Raw genomic sequence first — 19,485 nt, 5'->3', positions numbered from 1 at the left:
CGGGTCTCCGGAAGGGTAGGAATGAGATACAGTGTTGGTGAGCCGAGGCAAGAGGACCCGGCCCAGCTGCCCAGGCTGGAGCAGGAGCTGCAGAGGGTGGGCCAGGCCTCCCCTCCCTCACCTCACCTGATACATACCTCGGCTCTGCTGTGCACACCCACCCGCAAACCACACAGGCTCAGCCAAACCCTGAGTCCCAGCTGCAGGATATCTGCGCCAAGCAGGAGGATAACCTGAGCCTGTCGGCTTCCTCGGCTTCATGGGGAATTCTCTTATGCACTGTTGGAGAGAACACCAGCCCCGAATGCAGCCTCCGGAGCAGGGGAGGAGGCTGCCGAGCTGTGTAGGGACAGGGCTCGGGCCTGGAGAGGACGGAGGCGCCATAAGGATGAAGAGGGGAGGAGCATGCAGACCCCAGAGCTGGGTGCTGGTGCTTCAGTCCCTCTCTGCCCAACCTGCTGGGTGCTTCTGTGCAGGCCAGAGACCCGGCTCTACCTTCATCCTCTGAACCTCCTCTAGGTTTCCAGCCTCCCCCGAGCAGCTGCTCCTTGGTCAGGAGGTGCCTGAGCCGGAATCACAGGCCATACTTCGAGGTGCTCTCCATGGAGGATGCTGGCAAGGCTTTGGCAATGCCAGCCAATGCTCTGCTTACTGATGGGGCACGGTACTGAATCCTAGGTCTGATCTTCAGGATCAGCACGCTGGCGGGTAAGGGCCACACAGAGCCCCGCAACCTGGCTGGCCTCTGTCCTCACTGGTCAAACAATTGCCTTTTCAGTCCACATTTGCCCCTTGCCTACCCACAGAGCACACAGGGCAGTGCCAAGCGGGTACAGCTGCAGGTGAGGTGGCGCTATTCTGGCCCCGGGAGCCTGCCCCAAGCAGGGGTACGAGGTGGGACGGAGAGGCCCCTCTGTCTCTACACCTGGTCTCTCTGCCACAAATGCTGCCTCCCCCACACCCATGTCAACTCATCTGAAGGGCCTCACACCTCTTCCAGAAAGCCCTCCTGAACTCCCTCCAGCGCTGTCTCTGTGCCTGGCCCCATCTCCTACAAGGTGGGAGCTCACAGGTAAGGATGGGGGCTTAAGTGCCCGGCGTGGGGCCAGGCCTGGGAGATGGCTCAGCACAGGCTGCCCACTGTGGGCATCTCAAAGCTGGCACAGGCTGAGACACGGGGCTGCAGAGGACAGAATGGGCCTGCTTGCTCACCCAGAACCTCTGTAGAAATGCATTCAGCCACCACTTACCAACCTCCCAAGCCCCGAAAGCTGGAGTTGGGAGTCGGGTAGGACTGGGGTTAGGGAATCTTCCTGGAGGAGGAGGCCAGTGCCTTAGGTTTGCATGGCAGTGGAGCCCAGTGGCAATCAGGAGCTGAGTGACCCCAGGCGATTCCCAACTCTCTTAGGCCTTCGCCTCCTTATCCGAAAATGGGCACATGAAGCCTGCAGGGATGCTGAGGGCTCTAGTGAGACACGGTGCCTCCGGGACCTGGCCCAGGTCAGCTTTCCTTCAGGCTGTGGTGGTCGCCAGCTGCAGCAGGGATGGAGGCAGGACCCTCGGGCCTCCCTGCTCTAAATCAGCTGCCCTTCACAGGCCAGCATACCCTGGTGTCAGGATTTCTCAGAGCAAAACGTCCCTCCTAGGCTTTTCCTAAGGGACTCTTTGCTGGGTCAGGAGAACCCGTGTCTCTCCTGATGCACTGCGCACCCCAGTAACCTGAACACAAAACAGGGGTCGTTTCCACCAGCCCCCTTCCCCTATGTTTTTTCCCGACAACCCCTGCCTGAGGATGATTTCGCAAAGACAGACAGAAGCAGCCTAGGTACCACTCAGACTCACCACTGCCCAAAAACCCAGTGCTCTGGAGCCCTGCTTACCCCAGAGGGCCATGAAGACAGAGAAGAAGACCGTGGCGGGGTTGTCGAAGAGGTGGCTGGCGCGGGCCGTGGCGCAGGCTGAGCTCATCTTCCAGTAGCTGCAGGTCTTGTCGCAAAGCGGGCACATGGTGATATTGTGTCTCTGGTCACACATCTCCATGCTGCAAGAGAGGGGGCAGCCCTGGAGTCACCTTGTTGGGCCATGATGGAGCACCTCCTGGGTGCCGAGCTGGCCTGGGAGAAAGCGCTGGGCCCAAGCTGGGGGTTGGCGAGGGTCCCTCAGGTCCATGCCATAGTGGACATAAGCCGGGTGCTTAGCCATGCCCTGTCCCTCCTTGCCATCCAGGGCAGCTTCACAGGCGTGTGACCCATGCTGTTGCACCAGCCCTGAGCTCAGCAGGGCCTCATGCTTGGTTTAATGCTCCCCTGTTGCTGCCTTAAAACACACAATGGGACGGGCGTGGTGACTCACGCCTGTAATCCCAGTACTTTGGGAGGCCAAGGCGGGCGGATCACCTGAGGTCAGGGGTTCAAGACCAGCCTGGCCAAAATGGTGAAACCCTGTCTCTACTAAAAACACAAAAATTAGCCGGGCATGGTGGCACGCGCCTGTGATCCCAGCTACTCGGGAGGCTGAGGCAGAAGAATCGCTTGAACCCTGGAGGCAGAGGTTGCAGGGAGCCCAGATCACGTCACTGCACTCCAGCCTGGGTGACAGAGCGAGACTCCATCTCAACACAGACGCGCACACACACACACACACACACACACACACATTGATTTTTGAACTAAAGACCTGCATTTTCTTCTTGCATGGGGCCCTGCAACCTCTGTTGCCGGCCTTGGAGGTGGACTCACCCAGACCTGCTTTGTGGTAGATGGGCCCTGGAACATTCACCTCTGGGGTGACCCTGAGGCAGCAGCCTCTGCAGCCTATCCTTGAGCCACTTCTAGGAGAGGCAGAGTTCCCAGCCTGCCCCCATATAATCGGCAGGCACGGTCAAGGCTTGTGCCAATAGCAAATGCTAGCCAGGTCTTTATGTTATAAGGCCTTGGAAAACAGTGAGATGATGAGGGCCCTTGCTCTGTGCCAGGCGCCGTCTATGAGCGGTTCACACAGCATCTCCATCCGCCTGGTGGGGCGGCTGCCTTGGACGTGGCCTGGGTGCTCTGGACACAGGAGGTGGAGAAACGGGGATCCCAGGACTCTTCTCTGGGAGAACGGGGGCTGGGCCGGAAGGAATAGGTCCCCAGCTGCCCGGTGCAGCGGAGGCCCACCCTGTAGGCTCACTCGGGAAGCCGGGGGGGCCTGCCAGGGATGATGGGTCCCGCTCAGTGCAGGCTTCTGCTTTGCTGAGCACAGGTGAGCCTGGGGCCAGATCCCAACTACTGTGGCCAGGAGAGAGGATCTTCATGATGCCTGAGACTCATCTCTGTGCCTCCTCCCCAGCACTGACTTACTCCCACTAATATTAGAAAATACTAATACTTCCAGGCTATCGGCGGCGAGAGCAGGAGCCTCATTACTGGCAGGCACAGATGTTCCACCTCACTTGGACCAGCACTGGGGACTGTTGCAATCCCAGAGCCCAGAGAGGGGAAGTAACTTGTTCAGGGCCACGCAGCAGAGTGGGAATGGAATCCTGGTCTGTGTGTATCTTCAAAGCCCAAGCACTGCCGGCTCTCATCTACTGCTCAAGGGCCATGGGGGGCTCCTTGTGGAAGTTGGGTGGCCTGAACTGGGCCCTCAACTGACTACTCATACCCTCCGTGGCCCTGGCCAAGTCCTTTAGCCTCAGATTCAGTTTTTCGTTCTGGAAAATGAGGAGGGGTCAGAATAAGGTCCCTTCCTGCTCTGGCCTGCTTTGAACTTTCTCCTTTCTGCTGCCTTGGACAAGGCTCTGGGCTCTAAGTACACACCCTGGCTGGTTGGGTCGGAGGGTGATGTGGGGGGATGCTGAAGTGGGTGTTTGTTTTTTGACTTTCTGGATATGCTGAACTTATGCGCAGAACCATGCCTGGTCCACAGCAGCTGGTGCTTAATAAACGTCCCTTGCAAGGCTCTGAAGGGCCTCCTCTGTGCCCAGCATCATGGGCATTCTGGTTCAATTCTCTTCCTTCAGGTACAGTCCCTAAACATTTATTAAAAAGTGGTGTAGGGCCAGGCACGGTGGCTCATGCCTGTAATCCCAGCACTGGGAGGCCGAGGCAGGCAGATCACTCGAGGTCAGGAGTTTGAGACCAGCCTGGCCAACATGGTGAAACCCCGTCTCTACTAAAAATACAAACATTAGCCTGGCATGTAATCCCAGCCTGTAATCCCAGCTACTCGGGAGGCTGAGGCAGGAGAATTGCTTGAACCTGGGAGGTGGAGGTTGCATTGAGTCGAGATCACACCACTGTACTCCAGCCTGGGCGACAGAGTGAGACTCTGTGTCAAAAAAAAAAAAAGGCGGGGGGTGGGGTGTAGGTACTGCATGTATCTGGCACAAAAGATGGATAGGTTAAGAAGAATTCATTGCAGCCACAGCCTGGAGCATGGAGGAAGTGTGTGTGTGTGCATGGGAGCAGGGGTCGGGCAGGGTGAGTAGGCACACACAGCCGTTGGGAGAACCTGCACTCTACGGTCAGCTAGCTCTGGGTTTGTATCTCAGCTCTTGCATTTTGTGATCCGTGTGGCCTTAGTTTTCCCGGCTGCAGAATGGGGTTGCTGATAGTGAAGAGAAGCCGTGTTAATAGGTTGTCAGGAGGATTAAACAACCAACAACCAACACGAGTGTGGCCCTTGGAACAGTGCCTGGCACCCCTCGGCCATCACGTGGTCACCAACGCTGTTGTCATTATTATGCAATAGCCAAGCACTTTGCAGCAGCAGTGAGTTTTAAACACGAGCCAGGAGCCGGCCTTTCGGGGTTTATCTCATGCCCCTCACTCAGCCTCCTCTCTTCTGAGGGCCTCTTGAGGGCAGAAGAAAGCAGCGTTTTGGGGGGTTGGGGGCAGGACGTCCCCAGTTGGGCACAACGCGAGCCCCTCTTCCAGAGAACAGGCATGTGGAAGGCCATCCCCATCATCGCCAGCATGTGGCCCAGGCCACAGTGACCACCTGGACTGAGGATGGCCTGGAGTCCACAGTGGTGGGACTGGGGACAGGCAGGGCCAAGGCGTACACCAACGGCCTGCCCATGAGCCCTACCGCTCTCCTAGGCTCTCCTCCCTGCCCACCTCAGCTTCTCGCACAAACACCATCAGCCCAACAAGAAGCCTTTTTCTGCTGGTTTTAAATCCCCCTCCGCCTCTCACTTCACCGCCTTTAGCCAAAATACAAAGAGCAGGAAGCTCTCTTCTTCAGAGAGGACCGGAGGTACAAGGGCAGCAGGCGGCTCCATGCTGGGGCTTCCCTGCAAGCTTGGTGGGGATGGGGCGGAAGCTGCAGGGAGCACGCACCTCCCGCTTCGCTCCAGGTCGCCTGCTGGGCAGAGGCCTTGGCTTTGGCCTCATCTCCGCCCACAGCGGCTGAATCCTGAGTAACTGCTGTTTGCATTTCTGACCATGTGGTGGAAGGGCCGAGCTGGCATGGCCAACCCCTGGGCTGGCAGAGCCTCCCTGCTGGGGCCACCCTCCAAGGGAAGGAAGGAAGGAAGATGGAGGTCCCCCAGGCTTCCTCCAGGGCTCATGGGGAGAATCCTCACCTTACACTCACCATTTTCCTCCGGCTTTGAGCTCCTAGCCTAAAGCCAGCCTTACAATCCCCACCAAGTCTGGACTACCTTGATCTTTACCACAACCAAACCCAAGTGCCCAGGACCTCATACCATATTAGCAAACAAAGGGAAACCTTTCTCCTGCCTAGGACCAAATTAACACCAAAAGGGAGATAAGCCAGATTCCTCAGAGCTTTGATTCGGGGGTGGGGGTGGGGTGGAATATTTTAGGTGTTATTCATGTATCAAAACATCACTTAAACAAAAATTGACCAGATATGGTCTTTTTGTGCTGCAAAGAGTCAGTTTCTTTCCTAAGACTGATTGGGTCTTTACAGACAGGCTCAGTGGATACATTTTCTAAACTATACCTCTGCTTTAGAGATACTTGGCAGGAGTGGTTCGAAAAATAACCAAACTAACATTTTAGGGCTTTTCTGAGACTTGGAGCCCTTGCAGGGCAGGGTCAGCCCAAATTCCCCTTTATAGTCAATTCCCTGGCAGAGCGATTTGCACGCTGAAGGCACTGCCTGTCGGCATAGAAACCCTGCCAGAGGTTGGGAGCCTGGAATTATCCTTAGGTTCATGTCAGGAAATCTAAGAAACAGCTACAAAAGCAAGCACCAGAGGGACTCTGCACACTGAGGCTGAGCTTCTCAAAACTTGACTCTTTTTTTTTTTGGCTACAGGGCCCCACTCTGTTCCCCCAGGCTGGAGTGCAGTGGTGAGACCATGGCTCACTGTGGCCTCGACCTCCCGGGCTCAAGGGATCCTCCAACCTTAGCCTCCCAATGTGTTGGCATTACAGGCATGCGCCATCGCACCAGGCAAAACTGGACTCTTGTTCTGAAGTCATGTGGGGGAACTGGGCCCCTGAGCGAGGCGAGGCTGTCTCAGGTCTGGGCCTTCTTTTCCGAGCTCCCTGACGTCTGACATACCCTTGGTGAACAGCAGAAGGCACATCGGATCTACATTCAGATGCCTGCCTATGCTGTGGGATGCAATCCTCCCTTATGGAACAGTTCCTGCAGAATTTCTCGGGGCCGTGCAGATAAGGGAAGCAGGCAGCCTTAGGAAGCTGGGCAGGTGGAACCTACTGTACAGCCCACGAGCGCCAGCCTGCACTGAGGCCACTAGCATTCGCATCTCACCTCCCGGGAGCACCAGCCTGCACCGAGGCCTCTAGCATTCATGTCTCACTTCCTGCAAGCACCAGCCTGCACCGAAGCCTCTAGCGTTCACGTCTCACCTCCTGGGAGCACCAGACTGCACCGAGGCCTCTAGCGTTCATGTCTCACTTCCCGCAAGCACCAGCCTGCACCGAGGCCTCTAGTGTTCACGTCTCACCTCCTGGGAGCACCAGCCTGTACCGAGGCCTCTAGCATTCATGTCTCACCTCCCGCAAGTGCCAGCCTGCACCGAGGCCTCTAGCGTTCACGTCTCACCTCCTGGGAGCACCAGCCTGTACCGAGGCCTCTAGCATTCATGTCTCACCTCCCGCAAGTGCCAGCCTGCACCGAGGCCTCTAGCGTTCACGTCTCACCTCCTGGGAGCACCAGCCTGTACCGAGGCCTCTAGCATTCACGTCTCACCTCCCGCAAGTGCCAGCCTGCACCGAAGTCTGGCATTCACGCTCACCTCCCGCAAGCACCAGCCTGCACCGAGGCCTCTGGCATCCATGTCTCACCTCCCGCAAGTACCAGCCTGCACCGAAGCCTAGCATTCATGCTCACCTCCCGCGAACACCAGCCAGCACTGAGGCCTCTGGCATCCATGTCTCACCTCCCGCAAGTACCAGCCTACACTGAAGCCCCTAGCATTCATGCCTCACCTCCCGGCCACACAAGGAAACAGAAAACTTTCTTGTCACTAATGACCAACAGTGAAAAAGAACAAGCCAACCATAACAACTTTTAAAGAATGAAAATGGTCAGATGTTTCTTTTATGCCTTTCTCTTAACAATAAAACATAGCCTAGCACAGATGGGCCTGAGAAGGACTCCCAGACTCCTAGATGGCTTCGAACCATGTCCTTTCCTCCTGACGGCTCGTGGCTTGGCGTGAGGTTTCATGTGTACAGGAATTGGTGTGAGAGGCCAGTGTCCCAATGAATTGTGCAGCTGGGATGGCAGGAGAGGGCTCCTCTGTGTACTGCGGGGTGGTGGGGGTGGGCTGCCGCCTACCTGGGGATGTTTTCATCCATGGTGGCGCATCCGTACAGGAAGACAATGATTCCCACGATGGAGGCAGGGATGAGCATCTGGGTGTACACGCCCAGCCAGGCGAAGTACAGGCCGATCTTCTCCCCAAAATACTTCCTACACCAGGGGAGCAGAGCAGAGTCAAGCCCACTGTCATTCAATACTAGCAGGGAAACATGTCACAGGCCCTCCCCAGCAAGAGCAACTCAAACCAGGGGCACTGGTTCCCTCATCCCAGAAGCAGAGAGTGGGGTCCTGGGCCGCCCCATCAGGTTGGGGGTGCTCTCTGCTTTTCTGAAGCCCTCCCCTCTTCTCTCTTTTTTTGTTTTTTTTTGAGATGGAGTCTCGCTCTGTTGCCCAGGCTGGAGTGCAGTGGCGCTATCTCGGCTCACTGCAAGCTCCACCTCCCGCGTTCACGCCATTCTCCTGCCTCAGCCTCCCGAGTAGCTGGGACTACAGGAGCCCGCCACCACGCCCGGCTAATTTTTTGTATTTTTAGTAGAGATGGAGTTTCGCCGTGTTAGCCAGGATGGTCTCAATGTCCTGACCTCGTGATCCGCCCCCTTCGGCCTCCCAAAGTGCTGGGATTACAGGCGTGAGCCACCGTGCCCAGCCTCTTCTCTTTCTTTTTCTTTTCCTTTCTTTCTTTTTTTTTTTTTTTGAGATAGAGTTTTGCTCCTGTTGCCCAGGCTGGAGCGCAGTGGCACAATCTCGGCTCACTGCAACCTCCGCCTCTCAGGTTCAAGCGATTCTCCTGCCTCAGCCTCCTGAGTAGCTGGGACTACAGATGCTTGCCACCACGCCCATTGCATTTATTTATTTATTTATTTATTTTGAGATGGAGTCTTGCTCTGTCGCCCAGGCTGCAGTGCAGTGGCGCGATCTCGGCTCACTGCAACCTCCGCCTCTCGGGTTCAAGCGATTCTCCTGCCTCAGCCTCCCTAGTAGCTGGGACTATAGGCATGCACCATCACTGCCAGCTAACTTTTGTATTTTGGGTAGAGACGGGGTTTCACCATGTTGGCCAGGCTGGTCTCGAACTCCTGACCTCAAGTAATCCACCTGCCTCAGCCTCCCAAAGTGCTGCGATTACAGGCGTGAGCCACCGCGCCCGGTCCCCACTTCTCTGTGGTGCCTTGGGAAGGTGGGCGCTTTTCCGTGTGCGATGGCCCATGCTGATGGCTGTGGGCCTACTTCCCCTGAGGCTGTGGGCTCCATTCCAAGCCCTGTTCAGCATAAGGACTGGAAAGAACCTTGGCCGGGAGGTGCCAAGAAAACCAATTGCTCCTCATATTAAGCGTGGTTGGCAGTTTGATGGCTTGAATGGATTTCTACCAGTCGAGCTCTGGCGGGCAAGTTGCCTAACCTGGTCGGCCCCTCCTTCCTGCCCTGTGAGGACAGAGATCCTCTTGGGAGAGAAGAAATCCTTCCACATTTGAGGCAGCTCTTTCCTTCCCCTCCACGTCTCAAATCCGGAAAACCCTCCCGCCGCCCAGTGAGGCCAGGCCAGGCAGTGAATTTAGGAGATGGTAAATGTGACTGAAAAGGGCCCGACCTCCAGGGAATTTGAATAAACTGCTTCATCTAATGCTGGCCCAGGCTCTCAGCCCTGCAGGGACATTTTGGGTCTTCCTACACAAGCTCTTTGAGTTCAAACACGTTCCCGGGTACTGAACATTCAGAGCGGTTGAAACCCACAGGGATGTTATCCGACTGCCATCGGAGTAGGGACTTGATTCCCGCAGGCTGTGGCGCGTTCTTACCTGACCAGGTCGATGGGCTGGTACTTATAGAAAACTCCATAGCGTGCCCACTCTTCGTACAGGAGCTGAGGGGGAGGAAGCAGTGGGGTTGGTGACAATGTGGCACTCCGAGGTTGCTCCCCGGAACGCAGAGCTGCGGGGACTGAGCCTCCGTGACATCATTCATTCATCCCATAAACACTTCTTGAGAGTGGGCTGTGTGGGCTGTGAACGTGGGGATGGGAAAGAAGCTTCTGGCAGGTTATGGAATGTGAGCTCTTTGTGATTTGACCTGGAATTGATCTAAATGGGCCAGACGCTGTACGGCTTCTTACCTTTAGGGTTTTTGGTCATCCCCATCAGACACCAAACCATTCTTTATAAAGGTCACAAAGTCACCAGGGTTTTGAGCAGAGAAATACCAGTGGTGAAATTTTAAAAACTCTCACGGGATGCAAAGATACTCGAGGTTTATCTCCTGAGATGGGCTGTCTGATTAAAACAGCTCTTCATGAAATAAGTGAAATTGACACACACCCTGTTACCCCCCCAGGCTTTGGGCAGGGACAGTAATGAGTTTGGTGGATTGGAAGCCTTGTGTGAACATGTAAAGGGTGTCCTGATGAAGATGCTGGGTTAGGACTGCTAGTAAAAAAATAAAAAAATAAACCCGCGCATGTGGGTGGTTAATGCTTTACAGACCTCAACTCAAAGCCCAGGCTCATACATCATGCCCGCCCAGGGCTACAGGGCCACACTCAGGGAAGGCAGGATTCAGGTACCTTGAGGGGCCCAGAGGCTGTCCTGGGACAGAGCAGCTGCCCACCAGGAGCCAGAGGTGGGGCAGCTGCCCTCCTCCTCAGCTCAGAGCCCATTCTGGGGCCAAGCTGCCTCCCAAACTCAGAGTCAAGGTCATGGCTGGGGGACGAGGGAACCCCTTGGAGCCTCCATAACTCCTCCAGTGCCTGGAGGGCAGGAAGTGAGTGTGAGCCATCTCCACAGCTGACATAGCCTCGCGTGCCTGAGCGTCTCCTCTGGGGTAACACGGGCTGTGCACTATAGAGACCCCCCACTGACAAACAGGGAGGGGAAACAGTGCAGGTGTACCCACGGCTGCCCCCACCCAAACTCACAGGTGGAGGGCGTATTCCTGAGATCCATAGAGGGGCCGCCTGCTGCTGCACAGCCCCCCGAAACCACCAGCCTCACCTGCAGCTAAGCATGGCCATGGTTGGAGGGGCTTGTGACTTGTCTGCGGCCCTGGGAAGGTTCCCCCACCCCCGAATCGAGAGTCCTGGGCAGACCCCTTCCCCCATCCCTGTCTCCTCCTTTACACTGAAGGATGCGATCTCTCCTCCCAGGGCATGGAGAGAAGGCAGATGGGCTCATGCGAGTTAGTGATGTGCGAAAGGTACAGGGTGTTTCTGCATCAGTGCGTTTCCTTAGGCAGATAACGATGAAAAGGCCACAGTTTTACTGTGTACATAGGGAAGCCTCGGCCAGCAAACCTTGATGAAGCGGAGCCACACCTCTGCAAAAGCAAAGCAGCCATCGCTAACCTGGGCAGCTTCCTCCTCTCACCTAGAGTCAAGCTGCTGATTTATGCCATAGACAGGTGGAAGATGCGGCAGAGAGTGAGGAGGAGGGAAGGAGGAGACAGAGAGACAGAGGGAGGAAGGGGGGAGACAGAGACAGATGGAGAGACAGAGAAGGAGAGAGGCAGCGAGAGAGACAGAGAGAGGTAGGGGAGAGGGAGAGAGAGACAGAGACAGATGGAGAGACAGAGACAGAGAGAGAGAAGGGGGAGGGAGGGAAAGAGGGAGAGAGACTGAGACAGAGACAGAGAGAGGTGGGGAGGTGGAGAGAGAGACAGAGACAGAGGCAGATGGAGAGACAGAGATAGAGAGACAGACAGAGAGAGGTGAGGGAGACGGAGAGAGAGACAGAGACAGAGGCAGATGGAGAGACAGAGACAGAGAGACAGAGAGAGGTGGGGAGGTGGAGAGAGACAGAGACAGAGGCAGATGGAGAGACAGAGATAGAGAGACAGACAGAGAGAGGTGGGGGAGACGGAGAGAGAGAGAGACAGAGGCAGATGGAGAGACAGAGACAGAGAGACAGAGAGAGGCGGGGGAGATGGAGAGAGAGACAGAGACAGAGGCAGATGGAGAGACAGAGATAGAGACAGACAGAGAGGTGGGGGAGATGGAGAGAGAGACAGAGACAGAGGCAGATGGAGAGACAGAAAGACAGACAGAGAGGTGGGGGAGATGGAGAGAGAGACAGAGACAGAGGCAGATGGAGAGACAGAGATAGAGAGACAGACAGAGAGAGGTGGGGGAGACGGAGAGAGAGAGAGACAGAGGCAGATGGAGAGACAGAGACAGAGAGACAGAGAGAGGCGGGGGAGATGGAGAGAGAGACAGAGACAGAGGCAGATGGAGAGACAGAGACAGACAGACAGAGAGAGGTGGGGAGGTGGAGAGAGACAGAGACAGAGGCAGATGGAGAGACAGAGATAGAGAGACAGACAGAGAGGCGGGGGAGATGGAGAGACAGAGACAGAGGCAGATGGAGAGACAGAGATAGAGAGACAGACAGAGAGGTGGGGGAGATGGAGAGACAGAGACAGAGGCAGATGGAGAGACAGAGATAGAGAGACAGACAGAGAGGTGGGGGAGATGGAGAGAGAGACAGAGACAGAAGCAGATGGAGAGGCAGAGATAGAGAGACAGACAGAGAGAGGTGGGGGAGACGGAGAGAGAGACAGAGGCAGATGGAGAGACAGAGACAGAGAGACAGACAGAGAGGTGGGGGAGACGGAGAGAGAGACAGAGGCAGATGGAGAGACAGAGACAGAGAGACAGATAGAGAGAGGTGGGAAGGTGGAGAGAGACAGAGACAGAGGCAGATGGAGAGACAGAGATAGAGAGACAGACAGAGAGGTGGGGGAGATGGAGAGAGACAGAGACAGAGGCAGATGGAGAGACAGAGACAGAGAGACTGACAGAGAGGTGGGGGAGACAGGGAGAGAGACAGAGACAGAGGCAGATGGAGAGACAGAGACAGAGAGACAGACAGAGAGAGGTGGGGGAGGAAGACAGGGAGAGAGGCAGAGACAGAGGCAGATGGAGAGACAGACAGACAGACAGAGAGACATGGGGGAGATGGAGAGAGAGGCAGAGACAGAGGCAGATGGAGAGACAGAGATAGAGAGATGGACAGAGAGAAGTGGGGGAGGGAGACGGGGAGAGAAGGAGGGAGGGAGCGAGACAGGGACAGTGAGAAAGGACAAAGCTCTGCACCGGGGGAGGAGGGACCCACCCTCAGTGGCTCCCACCACCTTCTGACAGACGTGTGGAGGGGGCCTACTCCCAGCTTTCTACATATACCGCTTGACCTCGGTGGACTTTTCTTTCTGCCAAGAGGCGACATCAGTCACTCTGCACTGTCAAGGCAAAGAAATCCAACTGAAGTGCTGGAAGGAATCCAAGGTGGCACCTTAGCCCCGGTGAGCAGGCAGGGGGGCGTCCAGCCATGGGGGCTGTGGGCTGGAGAACAAGGCCAGCCAGGCGGCTCCAGTCACTGTGACCTGGGAGCCTTCCAGCATCCGGACCCTGGAGGGATCCCAACAACCCTCAGGCGTCTCTCTTGTCGAAACCCCCTGCCAGGACTCACATGGCTGCCACCGGCCCTTGGTGACATGGATGCAATCTTTAATTGGTGTATGTCCTTGCCCGTTGCCCTTCCCTCTAGAATGGAGACACCAGAGGGACCAGGTTTGTCTGGTCCTTCTCACCCTCCATGCCTCCAACAGGGCCTGTGGGTTTTCACTAAGTGACTGTTGAATGAATGGATGAATGGATGGATGAATGACATGTTGGGCTCTGTGGCTCCTAGTCCAGCCCAGGGATGCAGCAGACCTCAGTCCACACCTGGAATCAATCCCCCACAACCCAAGCCACCCCTCTCCCCAACAGGGCCCAGGTGGTCCTACTCTTCCAGTGCCCTGGCAGGGGGAGGCAGCAGCTGCCCACCAGAACACCTTCTGCACATCCAAAGACAGCTCTGGGGGCGTGCCTTGCTCACCTGGGGTTCAGTTCTGTGTAGGTGTGAACTCACCCACGGTCCTGGAGGAAGGGGCTCCCAAGTACTCCTACATGTTTGTGGCCCCATGATCAGGCCAAGAGTGATGGCTGCCCTGCCCAGACCTGCCTCCTGCTTAAACTTCCCTACACTCTCTTCTGCCCACCCTCCAGCTCAGCACAGGAAAATGTCATTGAAATGTCCTTGGCTGCACTTTCATTTCTGCCCTGTGAGGTATCCAGGGTCAGGCACGTGGGGCTCCTGCCACTGATTAGAACAATAATGGAGAAGCCATGGAGTCTGTCACCGGAAAGGCAAAAACTTGGCACCAGGCTGTGATGTGGAGCCATCGTGGCAGAATGCAGAGTTCCCTGCAGCTCTGAGTTAGGACCCAAACACCCATCTAATCCTCCCTCCTTCCCTCCTTTTCTTCTTTCCATCATCCATCTACCCACCCATCATTCATTCCTCCAGCATCTATCCATCATCCCTCCATCATCTATCCATCATCCATCATTAATTATTCATCCCTCTGGCATCCATCTATTCACCTACCTGTCCACCCATCAACCATCCACCCATCCATCTATCATCCACCTATCCAACCATCAACCATCATTAACTATTCATCCCTCCGGCATCCATCTATTCACCCACCCCTCCACCCATCCATCATCCATCATTCATCCTTCCATCATCCACCCATCCACCCGTCATCCATCATTCATTCCTCCAGCATCCATCATTCATCTTTCCATCAGCCACCCATCTACCCATCAACCATCATTCATTCCTCCAGCACCCATCCATCCATTTATCCATCCATCCATCCACCCACCCATCATCCATCATTCATTCCTCCAGCATCCATCATTCATTCTTCCATCGGCCATCCATCCATCCATCATTAATTATTCATCCCTCAGGCATCCATCCATTCACCTACCCACCCACCCATCATCCATCAACCCATCCATCCATCATTCATCCACCCACCCATCATCCATCATTCATCCTTCCATCATCCATCCACCCACCCATCACCCATCATTAATTCCTCCAGCATCCATCCACTCACCCACCCACCCCCCCATCATCCATCAACCCATCCATCCATCATTCCTCCACCCACCCATCATCCATCATTCATCCTTCCATCACCCATCCACCCACCCATCATCCATCATTAATTCCTCCAGCATCCATCCATCCACCCACCCACTCACCCATCATCCATCCATCATTGATTATTCATCCCTCCAGCATCCATCAATTCACCTACCCGCTCACCCACCCATCATCCATCATTCATCCTTCCATCATCCATCCACCCACCCATCATCTATCATTAATTCCTCCAGCATCCATCCATCCATCTACCCATTCACCCACCTACCCACCCATCACCCATCCATCCATCATTGATTATTCATCCCTCCAGCATGCATCCATCCACCTACCTGCTCACCCACCCATCATCCATCATTCATCCTTCCATCAGCCACCCATCCACACACCCACCCATCATCCACCATTCATCCCTTCAGCATCCATTCATCCATCCACCCACACACCTACCCATCCATCAACCATCCATCTGTCCATCCACTCATTCACCCATCCATCCACCCACTCATCCATCAACCATCATTCATCTCTCCACCATCCATCCACCCACCCACCCACCCATCAATCATCTATTCATCCGTCCACCCATTCACCCATCCATAATCTATCCATCCATCCATCCATCCATCCATCCATCCATCCATCTATCCATCCATCCATTATCCATCATTCAGTTATCCATCTCCATCTCTATCCATCCATCTATCATCCATTAATCCATCCATCCACCCAACTGTCATTCATTACTCCTTGACTACCCCCATGGGCCAGGCCTTGTATCCACTGCTGGGACCTAAAATTACATGGGGAGTGGGAATCATTCCAGGTAGAGTAAACAGCTGGGCCTGGACAAACCCGCATTGTGTTTGCTGGGCCTGGCACAGAGTAGTGCCCAGTAGGTATTTCTCAAATGAATAAGTAACTGAATGAGCTAGTCCTGGCACTGACGTGACCATCAGCCAAGCAATCCTGAGACTAGAAAAGCAGCCAGTGTGGCTGGAGAATGGAGGAGGGGGAGGAGGGGGAAGAGGGGGTAGGGTTCAGGGGCCTGTGACCCAGAGAACTGAATTCGGCTAGAAAGGGACTACTGGTGTCCATGGAAGAAGCATTTTTAGGGGGAGGATAGGCATCTGCCAAGTGCCAGAGGGGTGCGGAGGGATGAAGGGGGCTGGACTCTGAGGCTGGAATTGGTCAGGACAGGCCTGTGGAGGGGATGGTCCTTTTCCAACAGGATTGGAGTCGGGAGTTCTGCAAGTCATGGGGTCCCAGACGATGCCAGATGTTACACTAAAAATAACCAAATATGTAATTTTTGTGCTAAGTTAGATAGCATCTTCATCTGGATTCCCAGGCGGGCAAGTTGTATCAAGTACCAAAGATTTAAAAACATGTATGGGGGCCTGTGGGGGAGGCTGAAATGAAGAACATTCCATACACAGAGGTCCTGGCCCCTGGGAATTGGGACAAGGCCACTATTGTGAGGTTGTCAGGGAAGCATCTCTACCCACCACCTGTGGAAGGACCAGCAGATAGGGCAAGGGCTGCACATGCAGGGTCCAGGAAGGACTGCTTCCCGAGAGGGAAAGCTGGGCACATTTGGGGAACAGAGGCTGACGTGGAGACCTGGGGGGAAGGCTGGTATCGGGTGTGGGCCCATGGGAGAGGAGGGAAGAGCAAATGGATGTGGTGGGGACATGTTCTTTTCGGGGGCATGGTAGAGAAGCAGAGCTTCCTGGGGAGCCTGGGTGGGAAGGGTGGAGTTCCCATGCTCAGAGTGAGGGGTAGAGGGTGGGGACCAACGCTTTGGGGAGTGAGGAAAATTAGCAACAGCCACTAAAGAATAAAGGGGCTGGCTGGGTGCGGTGACTCACGCTTGTAATCCCAGCACTTTGGGAGGCTAAGGAGGGTGGATCATTTGAGGTCAGGAGTTCAAGACCAGCCTGGCCAACATGGCGAAAGCCCGTCTCTACTAAAAATACAAAAATCATCTGGGCCTGCTGGCAGGCACCTGTAATCCAAGCTACTCTGGAGGCTGAGTCAGGAGAATCACTTGAACCCGGGAGGCAGAGGGCCTGGGTGACAAAGTGCGACTCCAACTCAAAAAAAAAAAAAAAAAAAAAAGAAAGAAACAAAGAAAAAAGAATAAAGGGGTCACCCAGTGTTTCCCAAAGTGTGTTCCCTAGAACACTAGCTCAACAACTTCTCCATTAAAAGGGTTCCAGGTCAGGTAAATTTGAGAAACACTTCATTGACCACCATCAAACAGGTTTCCCCAATGCGCTGCTGGGGGCCATTGTTCTCTGTGCACCTGGTGTCAGTGGTTCCCAAGTTTATTTGCCTGGGAGCCCTGTGGGATTAGGCCACATGCCAGCAAGGACTGCTGGAGGCCCAGGCACAGTTCAGATTGTCCCGAGAAGATAAGGGAAGGACAGCGTGCAAGGAGTGGGCTCTGGGAGGACAGCTTTCCCTTTCCCATGCTCACGGTCACCTGCCAAGGGCATTTTTGACAATCAGAAAGAGGAAAACAAACCAGCCACACAAAGCTCACGGACTTTTCTCCTGAAAAGGTGAGAGGGGACACCCGCTTCTCAGCCCCCTGCAGCGAGCGCCCTGGGGAGGCCCTGGAGGCCGGTAAGTCCTCGGTCCAGCTGCAGGCCCACCCCGCCCCAGAACGCCTCCAGGCTCTGACAGAGCCACCTCCTGCTCCGCTCCATCAACTTACTTTTCTGTCGTTGAACTCGACGTTTTCACCGTTGTAGTCTCCCTGTTAAAAAAAGAGGAAAGGGACGTTCTTATCATCCAATGGAGCTTTGGAGGCGCTCACATCCATTATGTTTCAAAACATAAACCCCAGCAGCTCTCGTTGACACAAATTAAGATCATCCTGGGGCAACATTTCACACAGAGTGTGAGGGTTGCCCAGGTGTGCCCCCGTTATGATAGAAAGGCCGTGCACGTCCCTGTTGGCCGCCCTGTTGGCCTCCACCACCAGGACGGCCTGAGCCGCCTCTTCCCTCGACACAGAGGGGACTCTAGGAGAGGATCCACGGTCGGGTCCTTGGAACCAGAAACACAAATGAAAGGGGGCTTTTGGAGGCAGGAAGAGTCGTATCAATAGGGTGCGTATATGTCCCACTCTGCTGGGACAGTCCGTGTCTTGCTCCCTTCTCACTGTGGAGCATCCCAAGAGGGACAGTAAATGACAAGGTCATTGTCATCTAATCAGTGAGTCCAAAACTCCCATTCTACAGATGGAATCACTGAGGCTCCGAGAAGCAAACTGACATTTCTGAGGACACACACCTAAGTTCGGTCAGACCCTGACTTGGATCCAGACCTTCAAACCTAAAGGAAGAGAAGGGTCTAAGGGTTGAAAGCCCATCTTGGAACATCATGGGTCTAGACTGCCTATGGCTATGTGCACGTTACCCTCACAAACACTCAAAATGATACTTAACTGTCATTCAGTGAGCCCCAAATAACTACAGTTGACAAAAGTAACTGGGGAGGAGCAGCAAGGGAGCGGCCCTGTCGAGGTTCAGGGCATGGCTGGCCTGGCCTGGCTAATAGTTTTTTTTGTTTGTTTGTTTTGATTTTGTTTTTGTTTTTGAGATGGAGTTTCACTCTTATCGCTCAGGCTGGAGTACAGTGGCATGATCTCGGCTCACTGCAACCTTCGCTTCCAGGTTCAAGTGATTCTCCTGCCTCAGCCTCCCAAGTAGCCGGGACTACGGGTGCCCACCACCACACCCGGCTAATTTTTGTATTTTTAGTAGAGACAGGGTTTCACCACGTTGGTCAGGCTGGTCTCAAACTCCTGACCTCAAGTGATCCGCTCGCCTCGGCCTCCCAAAGTGCTGCGATTACAGGTGTGAGCCACTGCGCCTGGCCTGGCCAATGGGTTTTAAGAATATCCAGGCAGACAAAGCTATGGGGCTCCTGGGGGTCTGTCCAGTGCCCTCTCCCCTCACCAGCAACTTCCATGACCCCTTCTAACCCCTGCCAGGTGGGGACGACTTGACCACACACTCAAGCAAGCAACCAAATGCAGGTGGTCTTGGAACGAAGACGCTCTGAGAGCAGTTTAACCAATTTCCTCCTAAGTCTTCAGGGGATCCTCACCCACCCAAGCCTGACTCCTTTTAGTGTTTCCCAGTTTCTTTCCATGGATGAGACAGCCACGCGATCCCAGCAGCACCTCATTTATACGGAGGTCCTTATGCTGGTGACCTCGTTAGTCAGGAAGAAAGCCAAAAGGCCGCCAAGTAGCCAACATAAATATCAAAGTCCTTTCAGTACGGGTGATACACTCTGATTCCAGGAGACTTCCTCAGGGTCTCAGTTGGAGCATGTGACTCTTACCCACACACAACTCTATCAGGTTGTTATCCGCCTCCCGAGTTCAAGCAATTCTCCTGCCTCAGCCTCCCTAGTAGCTGGGATTACAGGCATGTGCCACCATGCCCAGCTAATTTTTGTATTTTTAGTAGAGATGAGGTTTCGCCATGTTGGTCAGGCTGGTTTCAACCTCCTGACCTCAGGTGATCTACCCGTCTTGGCCTCCCAAAGTGCTGTGATTGCAGGCGTGAGCCACCGTGCCCAACCGACCAGATATTCTTGAGGAATGAATGAATGAATGAATGCAGTAAGCACAGGATTGGAAGGGGGTAAGATGCAGGACAGCTTCATGGGGAGGAAGATGGAAGCAAAAATGTAAAGCCAGAACTACACTGCATGCAGTGAGAGC

The 19,485-nt window shown here is 54.7% G+C and overlaps 1 protein-coding gene across 21 annotated transcripts in view, besides 4 other annotated features; it reads right to left on the bottom strand.

Moving 5' to 3' along the window:
- ANO1 (anoctamin 1) overlaps window positions 1-19,485 on the bottom strand; it is a 223,534-nt gene that overhangs the window by 55,571 nt on the left and 148,478 nt on the right. For all 21 annotated transcript variants that reach the window (NR_030691.2, XM_047427185.1, NM_001378092.1 and 18 more), the window contains 4 exons: window positions 17,461-17,502; window positions 9,546-9,610; window positions 7,765-7,899; window positions 1,881-2,041 (listed from right to left, as the gene is read on the bottom strand). Coding sequence is in view for 20 of the 21 variants with exons in the window: in XM_047427185.1 (XP_047283141.1) it covers window positions 1,881-2,041; window positions 7,765-7,899; window positions 9,546-9,610; window positions 17,461-17,502 (403 nt within the window). In the remaining variant the exon portion in view is untranslated. The remainder of the gene's footprint in view (window positions 1-1,880; window positions 2,042-7,764; window positions 7,900-9,545; window positions 9,611-17,460; window positions 17,503-19,485) is intronic.
- Window positions 4,337-5,169: an enhancer, noted in NCBI's record as "H3K27ac-H3K4me1 hESC enhancer chr11:69974897-69975729 (GRCh37/hg19 assembly coordinates)". NCBI's record gives its function as "activates a minimal SCP1, AML or CMV promoter by ChIP-STARR-seq in naive H9 embryonic stem cells {active_cell/tissue: H9 hESC(naive)}" and the evidence as "EXISTENCE:reporter gene assay evidence [ECO:0000049][PMID:30033119]".
- Window positions 9,959-10,597: an enhancer, noted in NCBI's record as "H3K27ac-H3K4me1 hESC enhancer chr11:69969469-69970107 (GRCh37/hg19 assembly coordinates)". NCBI's record gives its function as "activates a minimal SCP1, AML or CMV promoter by ChIP-STARR-seq in naive H9 embryonic stem cells {active_cell/tissue: H9 hESC(naive)}" and the evidence as "EXISTENCE:reporter gene assay evidence [ECO:0000049][PMID:30033119]".
- Window positions 16,703-17,203: an enhancer, noted in NCBI's record as "H3K27ac hESC enhancer chr11:69962863-69963363 (GRCh37/hg19 assembly coordinates)". NCBI's record gives its function as "activates a minimal SCP1, AML or CMV promoter by ChIP-STARR-seq in primed H9 embryonic stem cells {active_cell/tissue: H9 hESC(primed)}" and the evidence as "EXISTENCE:reporter gene assay evidence [ECO:0000049][PMID:30033119]".
- Window positions 17,204-17,704: an enhancer, noted in NCBI's record as "H3K27ac hESC enhancer chr11:69962362-69962862 (GRCh37/hg19 assembly coordinates)". NCBI's record gives its function as "activates a minimal SCP1, AML or CMV promoter by ChIP-STARR-seq in primed H9 embryonic stem cells {active_cell/tissue: H9 hESC(primed)}" and the evidence as "EXISTENCE:reporter gene assay evidence [ECO:0000049][PMID:30033119]".

This window comes from Homo sapiens, chromosome 11 (assembly GCF_000001405.40).
Source record: "Homo sapiens chromosome 11, GRCh38.p14 Primary Assembly".
Taxonomy (NCBI): domain Eukaryota; kingdom Metazoa; phylum Chordata; class Mammalia; order Primates; family Hominidae; genus Homo; species Homo sapiens.
Note: the sequence above shows the minus strand (reverse complement) of the source record. Positions and strands in the feature narration are given on the sequence as shown.